The sequence below is a fragment of the Homo sapiens genome, chromosome 19, assembly GCF_000001405.40.
Source record: "Homo sapiens chromosome 19, GRCh38.p14 Primary Assembly".
NCBI lineage: Eukaryota > Metazoa > Chordata > Mammalia > Primates > Hominidae > Homo > Homo sapiens.
Window position 1 is genome coordinate 30,236,827 of NC_000019.10, and position 21,548 is coordinate 30,258,374.

At 44.3% G+C, this 21,548-nt stretch overlaps 1 protein-coding gene across 42 annotated transcripts in view, besides 1 other annotated feature; it reads left to right on the top strand.

Annotated features, from left to right (window-relative positions):
* ZNF536 (zinc finger protein 536) overlaps positions 1-21,548 on the top strand; it is a 487,995-nt gene that overhangs the window by 11,235 nt on the left and 455,212 nt on the right. The window lies entirely within an intron of this gene.
* Positions 19,324-20,915: an enhancer, noted in NCBI's record as "VISTA enhancer hs858". NCBI's record gives its function as "enhancer in: limb[10/11] | branchial arch[10/11]" and the evidence as "EXISTENCE:transgenic organism evidence [ECO:0001131][PMID:17130149]".

The window sequence follows — 21,548 nt, forward strand, 5'->3', positions numbered from 1 at the left end:
AGGGATGTGTATGCCCGGCATGTTGGCATGTTTGTTCTTTGGCGATGGCTGTCTGGTGAGGTCAAGTAATATATTCCAGATATTAGAGTATGTGCCATCTTCCAAATGCTTCCTGAAGAACTGGTTGCATTTTGACATTCTGCTCCTTTGTCTCACTGACACCAGCAACTTGATCCTCACGTCTCAAAATGTTGACAGGAGCTAGATTCTTGTGAGATTTTTTTTTTTTTCTTCTAGGCACTGCCTGGCTAAGGAGCCTGGCCACTCAGGTGAAAAATACCAGGCCCCTGTGTGGATCTGGGGGACAGCAGGAGTCTGTTGTTAAGAAAACTTTTTCTCCCTTTGCATGATAATATTGCTCAGATGAAAATCACACAATTTTTGTGTGATCTCCAAATACCACCTTCAATAAAATAATTTGTTCATTGATCTGAAGAATGAGTGGTTTCCAGCTGCTTCCTTCCCCGGGACAGACTTTCGCATTGGAATCTGTCTCTTTGACTCACTTCTGGTAGAGGTTGGCCTCCCGTGGAGGCCATTGTGAAAGGGCCAGGCAGCCTGGGGAGGCTGGGGATGGAGCCCTTGTTTCTCTAGGAATCAGAGGGCTTAGCAGAATCAAACACAAAATCATAATATGATAATTTGAGCTTAAACGTGAAGGTATTTATGATCACTGATCTTCATCTCAAAGGTAGGCGAGTGGAATTCTTGCTGGACTGTGGGGGCCAAGGCGACCCTCCTTTTACTAATCTCTATCATCAACGGACTCTTAACCTTCAGAGTAACATGAGGAAACTTTGTGTATCTTTTCACTGACTGTATCATTGATCCTGAAGGAGGAGAGTCTAAAGGAGGATTCTTTGTGTGCATTTTGTTTGCTAATTAAATTGTTTTTGCAAGAGTTACACAGTCCATGTGTGTTGCTTGATACATCCATATCTATAAGTTCTTTTTTTTTTTGCATAATTTAACTTTTAGGGTTGCTTCCTCTCTCAATAAGATGCTTATTTCATTGAGCTGGAAACATCAAGTTTGTAAATGAGGAAGAGCTGGAGGCATCTTTTTGTTTTGTTTTAAAGCAGTGTAACACCATGATAAAGAGCTCAGGACCAGTCAGATGGCACCAAGTTTGCCATCCAGCCTCACCACTTGCAAGCTGTTTGTAAGCAGCGCATTTTGATCTTTGAGCCTCAGTTTTCTCATCAGTAGAACTGGACTAATTCTTTCTCCCTCATAAGGTCATCAGGATTAAAAGAGAAAATGATTAAGGAGCCCAGAGACCAGCTATTCAATGAATGGCCAGCTACTCTTATTACTTGTGTAATACATGTTGTTGAATATTTTAGAAATAGAAGCCCCACCAAAGGCTGTGGGCTTCAGTCATCTGCAGAGCCGGGTGAAGAAGTGCCATTCCTCCTTCCTTCCTGGCTGGTCTTTGGGGTGATGTACCTGGGAATCCAATAACTATTGGCTGATTGATTTCCTATGTATCTGAAGATGCATTTTAAAGGGTCAGCTGAGTTATGGAGGGGTCTGGGGTCTAAGTCTTCACTAAACAAATATTCTCACTCCAATCCATCAAATGTTAGTACCATGTATCTAGGCCACACACACACACACACACACACACACAATCACACATGAAAACACATACATGCACACAAGTGTACTGGTTGGTTGCTGGATTCCTGGTAGGGACATTATAAACTGTGCTTTCCATCTTTTCCCTACAGCCAAAGCTAAAGATCACAAGGAGGTCCCTTCATTCCTTTCTTTCTTCCGTCTTTTCCTCCCTCCCTCCCTTTCTCCCTTCTTCCTCCTTCCTTCCTATCTGTCTCTCTATCTATCTGTCTGTCTGTCTGTCTGTCTAGATATATAAAGTGTATCCTAGGTAGGATCGGCACTGTGAATGAGAACAGAAATGCTTTGAAACCATTGCATCAACACAATAGCAAAATGAAAGCAGTGATGTTCTCCTAGTTTCCATGTTCCAAATTAAAAAAAAAATATATATATACACACACATACACATATACATACCAGAGACTCCCCTAATTTGCATACTGGTGTATATTCAAGTGTTGATTTCAAAGCAGCCTAACACTTAAGCATGAAGTATAAAATTAATGAGTTGAACCTGTGACCACTGCATTCAAGAAGAGTCACCCAAGAGAGAGGTGGGGAGTCGAACAGAGCTCCTTTACTTTCTCCCACAGAGGAAAAGGTGGAATTCTGGGCTGGCTTTCCCTCACCAGAGGGTATCCCAAATCTATGACAAAAGAAAAATGCCAGTCTCTTTTGGAAAGTAGGGAATGCCCTAGTGATGCTGTATGAAGAAGCAAGCCTCCATCTTCCCCGGGGAAATTTGAAACCAAGATGGGGTCCTGTCAATGACCCTCTAGCATTTATTGAGTGCCTATTAGACAGGTGGCCTTGGGCTTTGAAATGCAATATCTTATTTAACTTAATTCTGAGAACACTCTCTGTCTTTTGATGGAGAAAGCGAGGCTTATCCATGGTGGTGTGACTTGCCCAAGGCCAAGCTGCTGGTAGGTAGCAGTGCTGGGCTCCGTCTGAACGGAACCTATGTCAGTGACATGTAGGTTGCATGCCCTTCAGACTGGGACTCTTGGCACGTGGCCTGGACCTTCTCTGCAAACGGGGTTTCCTAGAACAGACATGGCGGTTGGAGAATCGACAGTCATGAGACAGACACACTTGTTGTAGTTGCAAAGATTCTACCATACTCACTCCTTGGACCCTAAAGGGGGAGACTTGTCCTGTGCATTTCTGAGCATGGGAATTATTTTGCTTCTTAAAATGCAATTAAGTCAAAGGCCTGGGAATTAGAGCAGAAGCCAACATCCCATCCTCTGCTGGTGGGTGAGGAATGCTTCTTCCCATGCTCAATAGGCATCTCCTATATTCCCAGGGCACCCTTGCCTTTCCTGTCCCTACCCCGCATCTCATTCTTCTTTCAGGCATCAGTCCAAATCCGTCTTGCTCCATGAAGCTGTATTTGAACACCTATCCATGCCAAAAAGAGCGCACACCACGATGCCATGTGAGGCAAGGTTGCCTTTCATCTGCTCTCACCCTTGGGGTTTTGGGATCCAATCCTCTCCAGACTTGTCAGCTAGCCTTCTATGGAGACATCAGGGAGGTGTACCTGGACTTTATCCCTACTTATCATTTGTGAGTTATTAACCCAAACCAGATGCAAAGGTGTCGACATTGGTTGTGTTGTAAGAATTCTGAGGGGCCGGGCATGGTGGCTCACACCTGTAATCCTAACACTTTGAGAGGCCGAGGCGAGCAGATCTGTTGAGGTCAGGAGATCGACACCAGCCTGGCCAACATGATGAAACCCCATCTGTACTAAAAATACAAAAAAAAATTAGCCAGGCATGGTGGCGGGTGCCTGTAATCCCAGCTACTTGGGAGGCTGGGGCAGGAGAATTGCTCAAACCCGGGAGGCAGAGGTTGCAGTGAGCCAAGATCGTGTCACTACACTCCAGCCTGGGTGACAGAGCAAGACTCTATCTCAGAAAAAAAAAAAATCCAAGGAACTGGCTTTGCTGGGCCAGTTTCTGGTCTCCAGAACCCCAAGGGGACTGTATCTCTTCAAGGGAATAGGTTGAGGGGTATCTGGGCCCCTCCCAGGACCTTGTCCCAGGGCAGCTCCCAGCTGCAGGTTGCTCTGCCTGGGAGGAGGCCCAGGAGTGCCATCGCATTGCTGCACTGGCCTGACCTCCCACTGGCCCGCACATGAACTGTTCCAGAGACAATACCTAGCTTTCTAGGGGCAGCCTGGAAGAACCCCCGAGCAGCTGGGCTAAACAGGCTCTGAGAGGGAAGCATTGCTAGCAGGCCATATAGCAAGGAGGGCTTCGTGGACCGTCTCCTGAAGGGTATGAGGTACTTAGGCCTCAGTCCTTAAATATTAGTTGAATAGATGAACAAGAAGTGAAGGGCACAGTGTTTGGTGGACGGAACAGCAAGAATACAGGTGTGACAGTAGGAACTGCTGCGGCAATCTGGGAACAGCACTTGGGAAGGACATTGCTGTGGGGAACCTGCTAGAGAGGCTTTGAGATTTGGAACTGTTTGGGGTCCTGGGGACATAACAGTGAACAAACCGATTCATATCTGGGCTCTCATGGAGCTTCCATTCTGGTGGGAGGGAACTGGAAATAAACAAATAATTCAGGCCTGGGGCAGTGGCTCACACCTTTAATCCCAGCACTTTGGGAGGTTGAGGTGGGAGGATCACTGGAGCCCAGGAGTTCAAGATCAGCCTGGGCAGCATAGTGAGACCCCATCTCTACAAATAATAAAAAAATTAGCTGGGTGTGGTGGTGCATGCTTGTAGTCCAAGCTCTTCAGGAGGCTGAGGTGGGAGGATCACTTGAACCCAGTTCGAGCCTACAGTGAACAGTGATTGTGCCACTGCACTCCAGCCTAGGTGACACGGCGAGACCCTGTCTCAAAAACAGAAACAAAAACGAAACCCAAATAATTCAAATACATTGTATATCAGATGGTGACATGTGTTATGGAGAGAAATGAAACAGGGTATGAGGATACAGCAGAATGGGAGTGGGGGTGGCTGTAATGTCACACCAGTCGGGCAGGAAGCCTCACTGAGAAGCTGGCATCTGCGCCTGGACTTGGCGGTGGATACCAGGATGAGAGCACTCCAGGCTAAGGGAAGGGCAAGTGCAGAGCCTCTGAGACAGGACTGTGCTAGGTCTGTCTAAGGAGCAGCAGTGTGGCTGGAGTAAAAAAGGGATGGAGAGAGTTAAACTAGCAGAGCCCATGGGGAGCGGGCTTCCTATCTCCTCTCTCACTGCACTCTGGGCAGCACCACCAGGCTCTGCAGATCTTTGCTGAGTGTCTGCTATGTGCCAGGCACCTGGACCTGACCCCTGTGATTCGTGCTGCTCTAGAGAGACACGGAAGTATATGCGCCATTTCAACCGTGCCCACGAAGACTAGGAAGGGAGAGAACTGAGGGCTGTGGGGACACCTCCTCACCTGGGTAGTCAGTGGTGTCCTCTGGGAGGACTCAGGGTGAGAAGAAGTCAGCAGAGAACAAGGTAGGGAAGAGTTCCAGGCAGAGGGAATGGCCTATGCAAAGGCCCTAAGGTTGGAAAGATCTTGGTGGCGCGATCTTTCTTTGCATGGGGAAGGGGACATCTAGTTGGGGCTGCCCTCTCTGCTGTGAGCGCCTGTTGAGGGGTAATTCCTGTGGGAGGGCATCCATGGGCCACTGTGGTCTTCTCTGCCTGATGCCCTCTCCTGCCGTCCAAAGTCAATATCTTCCTTCCAAGTGGCCCTTCCCTCTTGCCCTCCTTCTATTCTTCTTCCTAGGCAAATATCTACTAGACATTTACTCTGTACCAGGCCCTCAGAGAAGTGAGAAGATAAAGTTAGCTACAAAGACAAAAATGATCAAGCTGTCTCACAGGGTAGTTCCTGTTGGGGTTCACAAGGGAGTCTGTGATGCCTGGCTCCCCTCTGCTTCCCGGTCGGCTACCCCCAGCTTTAGGGGGTATCCGTTCACAGTTATTTTTGTATGGCAGCATTGGGTTAGACTTGGTTGTGCTTCACGCAGTCTAAAGGGTGGGAGGGTCCATCATGAGTGTCACAACAGTATTTTGGGTTCCTCTTTCCTACGCATGGCTGCAGTGGTGTTCCGTATTCCCTCCATCCTTTTCCATCCATGACCAGGAAATCTCCACAAAGCAGGGTCCCTGCCCCCAAGGGGATTTGTACTTTACTTAGGACCTGACCCTTTGAGGAGGTTCTTACTCCCCATCCCCAACTCTTCATCACAAAGACCTATCCCTTTCGAGAGAGGGACAGGTTGGCAGGAAAACCAGATCCTTGTTGGTATCGCCTGTAGGATCACATGGGATGTTTTGATTTGATGTTGAACTTGAAAGTACATCTCATGCCTGGCCTTCCGATTCGTTACTTAAATTATTACAATGTTAACTTTTTAATTTTATTCTTATTATGTTTTTTGGTGGAAAATGAAATATGTCCTGGCTGTTTGGATACTGAACTTTTTTTTTCTCATTATTAGGTTTTAAATGGTTAAGTAAATTTCATTAAATAACTGTAAACATTCCAAAGAGTCCTGCATACATATCGTATTTCACATCATCGTAACTTAGATGCAAAATATTAAAATGTAAATGACTCAATAGAAAAATTATGGAAACAAATGTATGACTTTTATTACACTTTTGGAAAAGTTGCTTAAATATTTCTCCTTCCTTCGCAAAAATCTATGATGAGTTAAAGGAAAAAAATATTTTAAGACACTATAAAAAACAATTCTTAAGAATAAAGCAACAGACCTTGTGGAACAGCTTTTTTTTTCTAATTTTATCTGTTCAACTCTGTGAATATATGTTGGCAATTGTCCACTCATTAATTTGATTATTTTAAAGTAAGCTATATAAACATGAATATAATTATTGTAAATTTAAAACATTAGTTAGAACAATATTGTTCCCAAGTACATAATAGATAGAGGTCTAAATTTTGGTATCATGCATTATGAAATTTGAACCAACAGTTCTTTTTCCTCCGAGGAAATATTGCAGTCTGTAGTAAGAATTGTCTGGGAAACATTTGGTATTTTATTTTAGTCTCTATCACAAATTTCCATGTGATTGTTCTATATTAATCATGAAAACTGACACGAGATTCCTTTTCCATAATAAATAGCAAGTAATGTAATAAAAACAAATGATAACGCTAATGAAAAAATTATATTTTTCCCCAACTTAGAGAAGAGTTCCAACAATAGGTAGGATAAAATAAAATCAATATTTTGACAGTGCTAGTGCTGTATTACGTCTGGCTCATTAATTTGGAGACAACTTCTCTGTTCAATCCCAAATCACAAAGTGTCAACAAATAGTAGTTTTAACATCTACTCTCATTCCAATGCATTTAATGCTTTGCAAGTTATTTTTAGCAGAAAATGATTTTTTTGATTCTGCAGATGTATAGAGATTGCATTGTGTAGGTTTTTGTCTTGGGGAACAATGAAAAACTTTTGCCATTGCAATTTGTATTCAAGAGATAGTTCATTATAAATTCCAGTTCAGCACAATCCTATATACTTTTTCCTATATATATTTACATATATGAATATGTGTGTGTATACACTCTTAAAGGCCATGTTCATTCCTGTTCATTAATTTTATGCAAAGTTTTCCTTAGCTTCGTCTTCTTTTAGAAGAATCTACAGTTTCTGATTTCCAAGTACCGATTGTCAGTTGATTAAGGTCAATGCTAGCACTTATTCAGGCTCTTATTGACTGGGGCCACGTGATAGATGTGATTGATCGGCTTTAGACACAGGATTGCTCATTTCCCATTGTAACACTCCTTTCCACCTGACCCATCCCTCATTACCCCGAGTTCTTCATAGAGTCTTTAAGAACGATCCACCCCCCCACCCCTCAGGTGCTGTGCTGTTACATTAAGGCCAAATTCCATCTCTCACTTGTGCAAAAATATATGGGTATCACTGCTGCCTGTCTTCCTTTGTTTTCCAGGGATCACAAAAGCCTGGGATTTAGAATAGCAGATAATAACATACAGTGCATATTATTGATGCTGCTTTAATTGTCTTATTGACAACTCACTTGAACTTGGAGAAGCATGCTAATATTTATCATCCTGTGAACTCATGTGCATTTTCTCTACTCAAGCCATAATTACAGAAGAATTTCGAAACTCAGATGTCTGCCTGCTGCACTGCCTCACCTTCCCTGTGTTTGGACAAAGGCTTCCAGACCACTGCATTGCCAGCTGTCTTTGCTCCTTGCCCCTGAAGCTTTTAGCACCCTCTGGATGCTTCTCCCTCTAGGGGAGATCTGGCTAATTAACACTTTGACCAGCGTCTGGCCAGGATCGGGGTGGCGATGTGACCCACCTGAGGAGTTGCAAGGAGGGCAGCATTTGGGTTGCCTAGTGGTTTTTTGTTTTTTCCAAGAGACAGCTGTTTCTTACCTTTAGGAAATGCCAATGGAACACATTAGAAAGATTTAGAACAGGCTGAAGCTAGAATTGAGGCCACTGTCCTGGCTAGGAGACAAAAGTCCACTTAAGGAGGGTTTGACAGGCTTAAGTCAATGGATGGAGCCATCACCATCTAACTCATGTCTACCTAGCTGTCCCCATCTGCCACCCATGCCACCCCATCCACCAGGCTTCAGCCTCACTGGTCTCCTTTCAGGTCCTCGGACACACAGGCTCCATCCCACTTGAGGGCCATAGCACACCTGTTTCCTCTGCATGGGACCCCCTCATCCTCACCTTTTACCTGGCTGCCCCAGCACAATGCTCAGGTCCCACTCAAGTGGCACATCTTCAGGGAGGCCATTCCTGTCCTCTTCTATCCTATCCCAGTCACCTGCTGTCTTGTCCTTTTCTGTTGTCTGCACAGTGCTTATCTTCATTGACTTTATTGATTGTTTGCACACTTACCCATCTCCTTCCCTCCACAGGACTAGACTCCCCAAAGCCAGGGCCCCTAACAGTCTCCTGAGGTCTCTACTCCCAGCACCCAGAGCAGCGACTTGCAAATGGCAGTCCATTAATAAATATGTTTTGTAAGAATGTTACTTTCCTAAAAGAAAATATAAATTTAGGAGTGTGTCCTTGACCCTTTGAGAACAATGACATGTCATGAAACAGACTGTCCCATGACGCATCCTTTGTTCCATTGTTAGAGATGGAAGTCACAGCTGTGACTCTCTCCCAGCCCACCACGAGGTCGCCGTGATGGAAGTGCAGAAAGAAGGTTGTCTCTCTATTGAAAATATATTAGCGTTATTGCCAAGTTGTTCTCCCTTTGTAGGGGCACTGGCTTAATCAAGGGCGCATGTTATGATAGGGACAGGCTTAATCAAGGGTGTTTATTCTGGCTTGGGTTTTGGCCTCGGGGGCCTTTTCTCTGAAGGTATTTCCCCGCCTATACCACTTGGTCTGAGGTTGGCCACGCAGTCCCTGCTGCAGGCCTCTTGCTTGACATCAGTACGTTGGGCACGGAGCGTTGGAGTCAGGTTCTTTGTCGCTGCTGAGAGCCAGCTGTGTGGAGCCCTGATTAACACAGATAAAGTTGTTAGTCGCTCTGTGTTCTTGTCTTTGGCAGTGCTTGATGTGGGTCCCTGGGCAGAGGCGTCGTGGAGACGAGAGAAGATGCTGCCCCGGCCCCCTGATTGGTGAGCCGCTCATCTGACTGATGAGTGAGGTGGAGTAACCCCACTGGCTTCAACGAGACACTCGAATCACAGAGGATGATTGCAGAAGGGGGAAAGGACTTTAAACCTATGTCACACCCTGTTGCCCCAGTGACTCCTGTCTTGGGGAGCTTACGATGCTTGTGCAACTGAAGAATCTGTTTTCTGAGAGTGTTGGGATTGTATTGCTCGCGTATTTCTCCCCACAAGTCAACAACAAACGAGAATTCTTGCAGAAAAATAAAAGACGGTAGGAATCAGAGAGGGAAAGAAGTCTCGATTTTCTCCCGTCTGTCTCATAGAATCCTTCTGCGGCATCAAATGTTTTCCTTTTATCCATATTATTTCTTTACTAGTTAAATAGAAATATCCTTTCCCTGTGCACATATTTCCTCTCAAGTAGACTGCAAGCTTCCTGGGAGCAGAATTGTTCTTTTTCTTCCCATAGTGTGCCACTGCCTTGCCAGCTACACACTGCCCCCGTCCCCACCCCACAAGAGGTCTGGCACTCGAGGGTGGGCGGTTTGGGATGCGTGAGGAAAGTAATAAAACCTTAATGAGTAACAGAAGTGAATGAAGAGTGTGGGTCTTTGGAAAATATTTAGAATGATCTCCTGTTGAATTGTTCATCATTTATAGACCTCTTGGGCTAAAAACTATTTGCTGTCTAGCGGTAGCCAAGGCTAGCTTTTTTCTTTTTCAATTCAATGAGTAAAAAAGTCGACTCATTATTATTATATTTTTTAAATAAGGACCCTAAGAGTCTACCAGGGATATTTGAAGACACTATTATTCAAAGCCAGACATTTTGGGAGTGAAATTCTCATCATGAATGGGTTCCTTGATGTAGAAACTAAGAAATCCCTTGGCGTTGTGATTCTTGGTGATGACCTATTGTTACTTGCTTCCAATTAAGGAAGGGAGTCCCACGTCCCCTGGGTTCTTCCAGCTTTCCGCTGGGGTTTGGGCATTGCCTCACTGGTGTCTGCCTCCCAACCTCTCTTCCCCAGTGTGTTCAAGTCTCCAGCTTCCTGTTCCACTATGACTTCAGCTGTTTGATGGTGTGAATGAAAATAAGATATGTATTCAAGGGCACCCCCGGTGTGCCCCCATTGTAGGCCAGGTGACAGTTCATAGTCAAACACAGGGTGGAGGCAGAAATCCCAGGTCCTGGCCTTTGCTTGGTGATTCACTTGGGTACTTTATTACCTACATGGGATCTGTTTCCCCGTCTGTAACACAGGGGAGGTGTGCAAGAGACCAAGAGCAGGTTGAAGAATCATTAGGGATGCTTGTCAGGCATGCCGGTTCCTGAGCTCCACCTGGAGAGGCAGCTTTGCAGGGGGTGCTGTTGTCCATGGACTCCACACTGGTCCAGGTAACCCTTCCCAGTTCTTCTCTGATGGGTTACACCTCGAACCTGGAGACATGGTTAAACATCCACAGCTGGGCGTGGTGGATCAAGCCTGTAATCCCAGCACTTTGGGAAGTGGGAAGATGGATTGAGCCTAGGAGTGGAGCCAGGAGTTCAAGGCCAGCCTGGGCAACATCGCAAGAGCCCGTCTCTACAGAAAATTAAAAAAAATTAGCTGGTGTGGTGGTATACACCTTTAGTCCCAGCTACTTGGGAGACTGAGGTGAGAGGATGGCTTGAACTCAGGAGGTTGAGGCTGTAGTGAGCTGTGATCAAGACACTGCACTCCAGTCTGCGTGACAGAGTGAGATGCTGTCTCACTGTCACTTACAGAAAATTATAAGTAAATAAACATTAGCAAACCTTATTTATTGCCTCCTTGGTTTTCTCCAGATTGTCTCAATTAGTGACATTTAACCAAATCAGAGAGTATTTCACGCCACAATCACAGAGGCAATTCTAGACCCTTATCTCCTGAGACCCTGTCACCTTACGGTGCAGACAGCGGCATCAGGAAGTGAACCGACCTGGCCCTGTTCACAAAAGAGCCACATGTACAGCGTCCACTGAATCTCTGCATTCGAATTCAAACCAATAGAAAATAGCAGAAGACAACAAGGAAATGACTGATTGGTCAAAAGCCTTGTCTGTGATTTTAAGAACTTGTAGCTTTGAAGATTTCTTTTTCTTTCTTTCTTTCTTTTTCTTTTCTTTCTTTTTTTTTTTTTTTGCGACAGAGTCTTTCTCTGTCAACCAGGCTGGAGTGCTGTGGCATAATCTTGGCTCACCGCAACCTCTGCCTCCTGGGCTCCTGGGTCCAAGTGATTCTCATGCCTCAGCCTCCCAAGGTGCTGGGATTACAGACACCTGCCACCATGCCCTGCTAATTTTTTTTTTTTTTTTTTTGTAGTTTTAGTAGAGATGGAGTTTCACTGTGTTGGCCAGGCTCGTCTCGCACTTCTGGCCTCAAGTAATCTACCCACCCGCACCTCCCAAATTGCTGAGATTGCAGGGGTGAGCCACTGTGCCCAACCAGAATCTTCAGATTTCTATCTGGTGAAGTTGGGGAGATGTTCTTGAAAGGTATAGCTGCAGTGAGCATGTGTGATTGGAAAGAGACTTCTAACCTTTTATCTTATGAACTGCCCATCCCATATGAGTTAGAAATTCTCTCATAACTCCCTAATGGAACCAGTGGGACAACATGTTATTAGTACTGTTCCAGGTATGTCTGGCTTTTGACCTTGGCCAGCAGTGGTTCTGAGGAATGATTATTTCTGATGCCTACTAGATTTCATCTTTTAACAAGGAAGACCCTTGAGTATGTCTACTCCTTCCTTTTGTCTTTTTAGCACCCCTCCCCCAGAAGTTGGGTGACATTTTAAGGAGGAAGGACAAGTCACTACTGTGTGCAGATTTCATATCAGATACAAGAACTCCACTTGCTGCCAAACGGGGGTTTAACCTCTCCCAGATCCTTGGTTGTGCATAATTAATGCGTCGTTCAGCATTTGACTTTTGTGCCTTTCATACAGATTTGATCTTAAAGGATGCCTGTGGAGAAGTTCTGTGCTCACAAAAGCACCTTCCATGTATTTCATGGCTTTTGCTTTTGAGTTTTGGGGAGACCCTTTCTTGAGTTTTCCTAAAGAAGGTGATCTGTATGGATACAATACACAATCTCTCTTAAATTATTCAGCAACTATTTATCCAGTGCCTAGCACTGTGTTTCCAAATGGTTGGAAATGAATGGCTGCAATATAGTTACTATTACTAACACTAATGTTAGTATTAGTCTTAGTATTATAATATAAACAGGAAAAGAAGGAGAAGGAGGAGAAGGAGGAGGGGGAGGGGGACAAGGAGGAGGGGGAGGAGGAGGAGGATATTTTAACACGCCCTTGTGGCATGAGTTCTATAGGTAACTTCCCTTGCATTGTTTTTTTACTGAATCTTCAGCAGTCCTGTGAGATGGGGTCATCAGTTTGATTTTCCAAACAAAATATCTGGGGCTCAGAGCACCAAATGACTTACCAAAAAACACATGCAAAAAGGATCACTTGAGCCTGGGAGTTCGAGGCTTCAGTGAGCCCTGACTGCACCCCACCTTGGGTGATGGAGCGAGACCCTGTCCCAAAACAAAAACAAAACAAAGCAAAACCAAAAACCCACATTCAGAGCAAGTGGCTGAGTTCAGGTGGAAACCCCCCACCCTGCCTCATCGAACCTCTCTTTGCCACTGTGCTGTGTTGCTGTGGCCAAGCTATTGCCTTTTTGGGGAATGGAGGTGGAAGGCTGAAGGGACCATTCATGAAGTCACCAGGCTCTAGTGGGAAAGTGTCTAGCCAAGAGATAGCTGCAAACCTAGTTCCCATTTATGCCCACTGTTGAGAATGCTTGGGGACATCCTTTAAATGGTTTCTCTCTGGGCAAAGGCAGCACTCCCTGAATCTGCCCTCTTGCCAAGTAGAGGAGATGTAAGAACATGTTTTCTATTGATTTTTAAAAGCAATTCAGGACCCAACTGGTAATAATCGGTGTGACCTGTGCTGTTCTCCAGGCAGTCACAAGCAGCTCGGAGCCTTGTTGTGTGACTCTGATGTTTGGGATGTGCATTCTTTGAAGATTACTTCTAAAGCAAGGAGTCCAAATCCTTAATTCACGATTCTGTCTATTCCTGTGGTGTTTACATTCCACCATGGCAGAAGATCACTGTGAAAAAGAAAGATGAAAATGCACTTTTAAGAAGGGCTTTTCTTGTGCGGGCCTCCTCCAAAGACCCTAACCCTTTCCCCTCTTGTTGACGCCGAGGTCTGTGTTTCATCTACAGGGAACATATACATTAATAGGTGATTTAAAGCTTTGTCACACTGTGGTGACACATGCAGGCTGAGCTCTTGGGGCAATGAGCTGCGTGGAGCAAGTGCTGGTGTGATTTCGGGTGTTGGGGCAGGTCTCTCTGGCATCGTGTGTCTGTCAAAGGGCTGTCTGCCCTTTTGCTGAAGTCGGGTCTGCAAGGGTCTTGGGGAAAGTGGCTGGTGAGGCTGATTGATTTGACCAGTGAGCAGAGCAGGACCTTGCTAGGGCTGGGCACTAAGAGAGAGATGAGTCTTCTACTTAGAGAAGTCGCTGAGCTTTGGAATCTGAGAGCTGAGTAATGTGCAGACACAGGGTCTGGGAAGACCCCTTGATTCCCTAAACACTAAGACAACTACGATTCCTCTTCTGTCTATACCACTCCCCCCATATGATTCAAAAGGCACCATAAAGGCATAACATATACAAGGACCAAGTTAGTTCTGATTTTTCCAATGATGACTGTTTTGATGCCTGTTGGGTTTTTTTTTTTTTTGAGGGGGACAGATATCAAGTGTCAAATACTTTAAAAATAGAATTCCTTTTTTTAAAAAGTGGTATTATTGCTTCCTCATTTTTGAGGAGTTTCCAAAGCACATATGGTCTGTCCATGATGTTACACGGGGTTTAGGTTTAAGATCTCGGTGAACTTGATACCCATGACCCGGTCTACAAAGAACATGTGGGGTCTGTCTGCTTCCCTCTATCCCTGCAGTCAGCAACACCAAGGATACTCAAGACTCCCTATCATCGGTGGGGAATAAGCCACCAGGCCACCTGATCACAGAGCACTCCCTGGATGCACTTGAGTGTCTGGGTTCCAGATAGGCGTGGTTCTACATAAGACTGTGTGTCTACATTTTCTGGGGCCAACGAGAAACCATTTCTGATGCTATTTGGGCCACCCATCTAGTAGATTAATGTGGACAATGATGAAATGATGGTTCACAGGTGGAACCTGAGATGCACTCTCAATTCCCATATGGATGGTTGGTGTGGGTGCAAATGGCCTTAGGAAAAGAGCCAGGCTTTTGCATTGGTCAGAGCACTGACTTTTTCTATAATGTGTTGAAGGGGGAGCAGGAACTCACTAGTGTTCCTGCTGATGGTTCCCAGGGCCCTTTAAAAACAGCCTCCTTAATATGTTGCTGCCTGTTCAAGGCATCGTGTGGCCTTGAAATTTAAAAACATCATATAGTAAATTCGTCTACTTCTTTAAAAAATTTTACTTCCATAAGTTTTTGGGAACAGGTGGTGTTTGGTTACATGAGTAAGTTGTTTAGTGGTGATTTGTGAGATTTTGGTGCGCCCATCTCCTGAGCAGTACACACTGCACACAATTTGTAGTCTTTTATTCCTCACTCACTTCCTACCCTTTCCCCCTGAGTCCCCAAGGTCCATTGTGCCATTCTTATGCCTTTGCATCCTCATAGCTTAGCTCCCACTTATGAGTGAGAACATACAATGTTTGGTTTTCCATTCCTGAGTTACTTCACTTAGACTAATAGTCTTCAATCCCATCCAGGTTGCTGTGAATGCCATTTATTCATTCCTTTTTGTGGCTGAGTAGTATTCCATTGCACATATATATATATAGAAAAGAGCTTTTGCACAGCAAAAAGGTCAGCAAAGTAAACAGACAACCCACAGAGTGGGAGAAAATCCTCACAATCTATACATCTGACAAAGGACTAATATCCAGAATCTACAATGAACTCAAACAAATTAGCAAGAGAAAAACAAACAATCCCAACAAAAAGTGGCCTAAGGACATGAATAGATGATTCTCAAAAGAAGATATACAAATAGCTAACAAACTTATGAAAAAATGCTCAACATCACTAATGATTAGGGAAATGCAAATCAAAACCGCAATGCAATACCACCCTACTCCTGCAAGAATGACCATAATAAAAAAACTTCCACTTTAAAAAATATCTTCTATTCTCCATAGGGAATACTCCCTGGAATTCTTGTTGGCCCTGGCTGGCTGTGGCTGGGGACCGCACTCCTAGTCTCCCCAGGGGGATCTGGTGCCTCCGGGGGAGCTGGAGAAGCCTCTGGAGGTTGGAAGGCCAGGGTGCATACCCTGGGATGAGGCAGGAGGATTTACCCTCCATCTACCTCAGGTCAACAGCATTCCTGTGATGCGAATGGACCCTGGGTCTTTTACTGTGTTTTCTGCCCACCTGTATGCCATAGCCCGAGAGACACCTGCCTACCATTTTTTTGAGTGAGTGGATATGACCACTAGACATCTGTGCCTGCGGCCATCAGCAATCCAGCATAAAGTTACCCCCTAAAATGGGAATCTTTGCCTGCCTAATGGAGTGGCGAAGGTGCTGAGCTGGGTTGGAGACCAAGATTAGATCCACTGTCTAATTCTCAGTAGATTGATTCTCCATTAGATCCCAGATAGATGAGCTTGGTAGTTCTAAAGCATTTTTTGTACCTATGTAGGAATGGCAGAAGGGACGGATTCCCCACTGTAGGAATATTTAGGACATATCTTGTTATTTTAAAAAGTGGCTGTGATTCTCATAAAACAAATTCCATTTTAACTCCATTTATTTTGTAGGGCTTTAAAGAAGGTAGAGAATGTTTCGAAATGCTGATGATGATGGTGATGGTGATGGTGATGAGCAGTAGCGAGGTGAAAAGATTTGGAATCAGTTTCTGAAGTGGGCACCCACAATGCTCATTCCAGTTGGAACCATCACCCTTTAGGCAAATCTTTACCCCTTGGAAGCTCTCAGATTATCAGCCTCCTAACCGCAGGGAGACCCTCCTAGTCAAATGTGGAGAGGGATCCTAGCTGGTGTTTCCAGAGGGCAGTGTGAATGATAAATACTGTTCATATTCAGAAGGAAAAATTGATTTTAAAAATGTGCCTTTGATTCACTAATCTCTGACATTGAGACATTTTTTGAAGTCTGTTGCTATAATTAGAATTCTATAAGCCATTTCATGTCTCTATCAAAATTTTAAGAGACATAGAAAATTTAAGGTTTTTTTTGGCTTACAATTCATCATATCAATGCGAATCTTATTGCAGTTTGGGCTTCAGTGTGGAGCAGTATTTCGGGGCCAGAGACACGCGTTCTGTCATCAGGGCTGTGTTGAGAGCAGCCCCTGTGCTGCCCAACAACGCACAGCTTGAATTTTAAGAATTGCTTGTGAATTGTGTTTCTGCCTTGTTTTGATTTGTTTTTCCCAGCCAAAATGTGGGGCTGGAGGCAGGAGACTGTGTCATTCAGAATCTGTGCCTGCTTCCCCACCCATGGGCTGTATCTGTGTGTGCCCCGGCTGGGCGGGTGGACGGGAGGAGTCGCGGGGGAGGCTTGGTTCCTGGGGACATGTGGGGTGGCGCCGACAGCTCCAGCCGGGCTCAGGTGAGTCACGGCTGCGCTTTGAGATGGGTAATTGGTGGCATGTGGTCCGTGAGCCATGTGTGAGAGCCCTTCCTTAGTCATAGGAAAGGGAACAAGCGTCGCAAATAAAAGCCTCATCAGATTAGTGAGTCAGAAAAGACGCTAATCCCAACCCGATGCTTCATTTCTACTTTTTTTTTCCCCTTCCAAAAGCAGAAGCTGTTCCTGTTCTTTAAGAAAAAAAAATTAAAATCAGTTTTCTAAAAGACTGATTTAACCACAATCAAAAGTGGAGGGGGGTGTGGGCCGTGTCACTATTGCTGTATGACGATTAGCATGAAGATGAGTTGCACTTTAGCCGGGCTGAAACTTGTTCCTAACAGAATGTTAAATACTTAGTGAAAAGAAAGATTATGTCTATCTAGTTACACCATTCCTTGATATATGCTCCATGTCAGAATGCCATTGTCTCCTGGGTAAAGACGGAGAGTTCAAATACCCACTATCTCTCCCCTGGTGCTCCGAATGCTCTTCTTTGAAGTTTTTATAATCCATCTGTCATCTTCTAGCAAGGAGGGCACATGTTCTGTACCACTCAATTACAGAATTCTCCTTTGCCAGCTCCAATGAGACAGGAAAGAATGTTATGGGTGGTTGAGAGAAACTGTCAGATATACTAAATTCCTAGGATTCATACGCACGGTGTTTTTCCAGGGTAGGAACACAGCCCGCCTTATTGTTCAAGTGCATTAGAGATACAGTTGGCATTGGGGTAGAGAACCTTTGATTTTTTTTTTTTTTTTAAAGTCTCTTCCAGAGAGTTGTCTTAAATTTGATTGTTCTCTTTTTGAAAAAAAAAAAAAAAATCATCCAAACCTCCTCTGGAATGTGGACCCGCCAATGTGAACTGAAAATGTGACATTTGTTTTAGCTAACTAGGAGTCGGTAGTCCAACTGTGCAGAGATTGGGAAGTAGCAAAGTGCTTTTGTTTGTGTGGTTTCACTTTAGTGAAATAGGATTTTTACTTGGTCTTGATAGAAGATGGTGACTAGATAAAGCCTGATCCCCACAGAAATAATTTTCATCATCAGCTGAGCCGAAAGCCTGAACCTTAAATGTTCTGCCATCTGGTGAGATCTGAGAAAGTTAGCACTGGACTTAAAAGTCTTTAAAATGGGTTATTTTATTTAAGGACAATCTACCTTGGAGTGGTTAGTGTTTCTAGATATCATGTTAACTTCTCACTCATTGAGTCACGGGTGGTTAAATTCGTTGTCTTATGTGAAATGAGTTTGATGATCTCGGCTTAGCCTCTAGTGGGTATTAATTCACATTATGAAATATCCCAGAATAATTTAGCACCGTGTGGCATAATTTGCATTTTTACTCAAGATAGGGGCAATGATAGTGTCTCTGGATCTATTCCCCCCCTTTTTTTCATTCAAAAGAGGATGGCTCTCGTTTGTGGCTTTCAGGGTGATTGTCGGTGGGGTTTACTCTTACTAATTCGGTGGGAACATATGGCTTTAGAGCTTGGGGTGGTGAGAAGAGGAAATTTTAGCTTGGGCGCTAAAACCTGACAAGGAATATTTGCGGGGAGATAGTTGCAGCTGATGAGCTAGGATTTCATGACCCTGCGAGAGTGGACATCTCCTACATGCATGTACATTTTACACAGAAGCACATACATGAGACTAAAGAACACGGGTTCGGGTGGATGCATTAGGTTTGGGGGTCCACAAGTGTCCCTCAATTTGTAAAAGGCGTCTTTTCTCTTTACAAAACAGGAAGGTTTTCCAGAAATGCAGGATACGATTACAGTAATTAATTTAGTGAAACTTCTTAAATCTGATCTTCTGTTCAAACTAATAATGCCAGGATGGGGTGGCTCAATGTTGTTAATTGAAATCTGGAGACAATAAAAAAAATGTCTTTCTGCAACTTCAATACAGCAGTCTGGAACTGTCGGGTCAGGCTGTGAACCAATTTTCTTCTCATTACTTTTGATTTTGGAGTCAATACAAATTTCATCAGTGATTGTAGGGTGCAGGTCTTCGTCTGCATAGACCCCGTCATGGGAGAATATGTGCGCTTGGTTTAAAGATTTATGGAAAAGTGGTGCTAGTGACTCAGGAAAGAGAGGAAGGAAATGCTGAAGCCAACAGCCTCCTTGGAAACTGCTGCAGTGCTCAGGGGTGATTAGCATGGAGAGGCATTGGGCTGGGGGGAGAGTGCTGGACCCCAGGAGGCCTCTGCATCTGCAGACCACTGGGGGCAGCTGGCGGCAGCCTCTGTGGCTCCCTTGCTGTTCCTTCCAGACCTGTGTCTTTAGCCCAAGTTTCTCTCTCCTTTTTTCTTTCTCTCTCCCACGTCCCCTATATTTACAGCTGTGGAGAGAGTCCTTCTGCAGCTCACAGAATTTAAGGCCCCACAGAAACTTAAGGGTAGAAAAAAGGAAAAAAGAGGAGACTCAACTTTGTAGGAGTTTGTGAAATTCTGAAAGCATCCTGGGCAAAGAGGTCTTTTGTGTTGAAACATAGATCCAAGACGTCGTATGCGATTCCTCATTTTTCCTGCGTGCAGTTTGCATCTGTGTAAGTCATGGGATCAGCCCATCTATCATTAGGTATTGGCCTAATTGGACATTTTTTACGAGCCCGGTTTGCTATTTATGTTAAAAGCAATTCGCAGAAATGCCCTTTCTTCATGATTCGGTATTGGCAATAGCGACGTATGTTTAATCACATTTTCCATGAGTAATTATCTAATTTACATGATTACCAATATAAAACAGGAAAATAGAATAGGGGCTTAACTCAGTCCTGCTTGGGCGGTGACACAGGCGTCCAGAAAGACCCGAGTGAGGGCGAATGGTTGCTGGTTCTGTTTCCTTCTGTCATATCATGGAGATTTTTATTAGCAACAGGAGCTCTCTGAAGCCGGGCCTCTGGAGGAGAGAGGCTATTTGGGATTCTGTTGTAATGCAGTTTGAGGTTCACTCTGTCTGCTTGGGTTCTTAACGTTTGGGGCTGTCCTTTTTGAAGACTTCCGGGAGATGGAGGTCACATTTTTTATTCATGTTGAAAAATATTCATTTATCAGTATTGGTGCAACTGTAAACAAGTGATAAAGTGACAACATTTACAACAGTAAAACTGACAGCATTTACTTTAATTTTCTGTCATTTTGGTAATTATATCAATCAAGATCCAAAACTAAAATGATATTTTAGCATGCAGTAAGAAATGAGGAATTCAGATCTTAAAAGACCATTACAATTAGCTTTGAAATGTTCGCCATTTTACCATAATTGTTTCATATAGCTTATATGTCTTCATTTACAGCCGAATATTCTGTTGATCTTTTATAAACAAAGTAGCACCCATCTGCTCCTTGAGACACTCCTGGCGCCTATTCATTGCAAAAATAATACATGTCCTAATGACTTCCACATATTTTGAAATCTCCCTTTTGAAATTGGTCTTGGCAGATTATTTGCAGGTACTTGAGTTGCATCTGTTTGCAATTTTGCAAATGCGGAAGACTTTAATGTTGAGCACTGCAAGAGGGCTATTTTAATCCTCAGATAACATTGGCTGTCATCAAAAGCCACATTTATCTTTTCGAAGGTGGGGCAAATGTTTAATGTTAAAAGACAGTAAAAGGTCAAGGCCAAGTCTGGGGTCTGAATATTTTCCTTTCACGTGCTGTGCCTTTTGCAAACTCTTCCTTGCATTTCTTTTTATTTAAGTTTTAGCTTAATAACCATTGCCAAGAGGATGTTTTGCTGATAAAATGAAAGATCAGGAAGAGAGTAAATCAGAAATAATAGTGAACTCCAGGATCCTGAGCTCATTACTACCATGTGGCTAGCAGCTGACCAGCTTTAGGTTGACTCTGTTTACAGGGAAGAACTAAACAGCACAGTGTTGGAGAATACTGGGGCCTTGAATGCTGTTGCTGGCCTGCCTCCCAGGAGGGGCTGAAGATCTGGGAGGGAAGGTGGTCACTGTAAGGCCAGCGTACCTTCAGCAAGCTGATGCTGCTCCTGGGCGGACCCATTGCAACTGGAGGAGCTGCTCACTCTAAGAGTCTGCATGGGGACTTGTTTCCTCTTTGTTCAAACTCTGAAGCCCAGAACACTGAAGTTAAGTGAAGGTACTTTCTGGATTGCTGTCTTTGACCTGGTCAACATTGAGTACACAAGCAAGCCATCCTGTCACTAGGGTTTTTGGACTCTGCAGAACTAGGGCAGCAGGACAGGTTGTTACCAGCCTCCTTCCTAGTGTCTCCTCTTTGGTCCTCATGGGGGTCTGTGTGTGCCATGTGGAGCTACAGTTTGTTCTCCACTGGCTGCCATTTTGGCCATCACCCTTACATCTGAGAATAAGATGTTAGCCCATTTTGTGTTTAAATGGAAGTAGTTGGCCATGGAGACGTCATTGGTGGCTGCAAATATGCTAACCATGAAGGTGTCGCCTACACAACCTACAAAACCAATTCACCTCCAAGCCACTTCCAATGACTCTGGTGACAGAAGGGACACTAAAGCTGAAACTAGCCCCATCCTCTTGTTAAACGTGAGAAAAGTAGGAGCTTCACAGATAACCAGGTACAGCCCAGCATCTTGAGGTTTA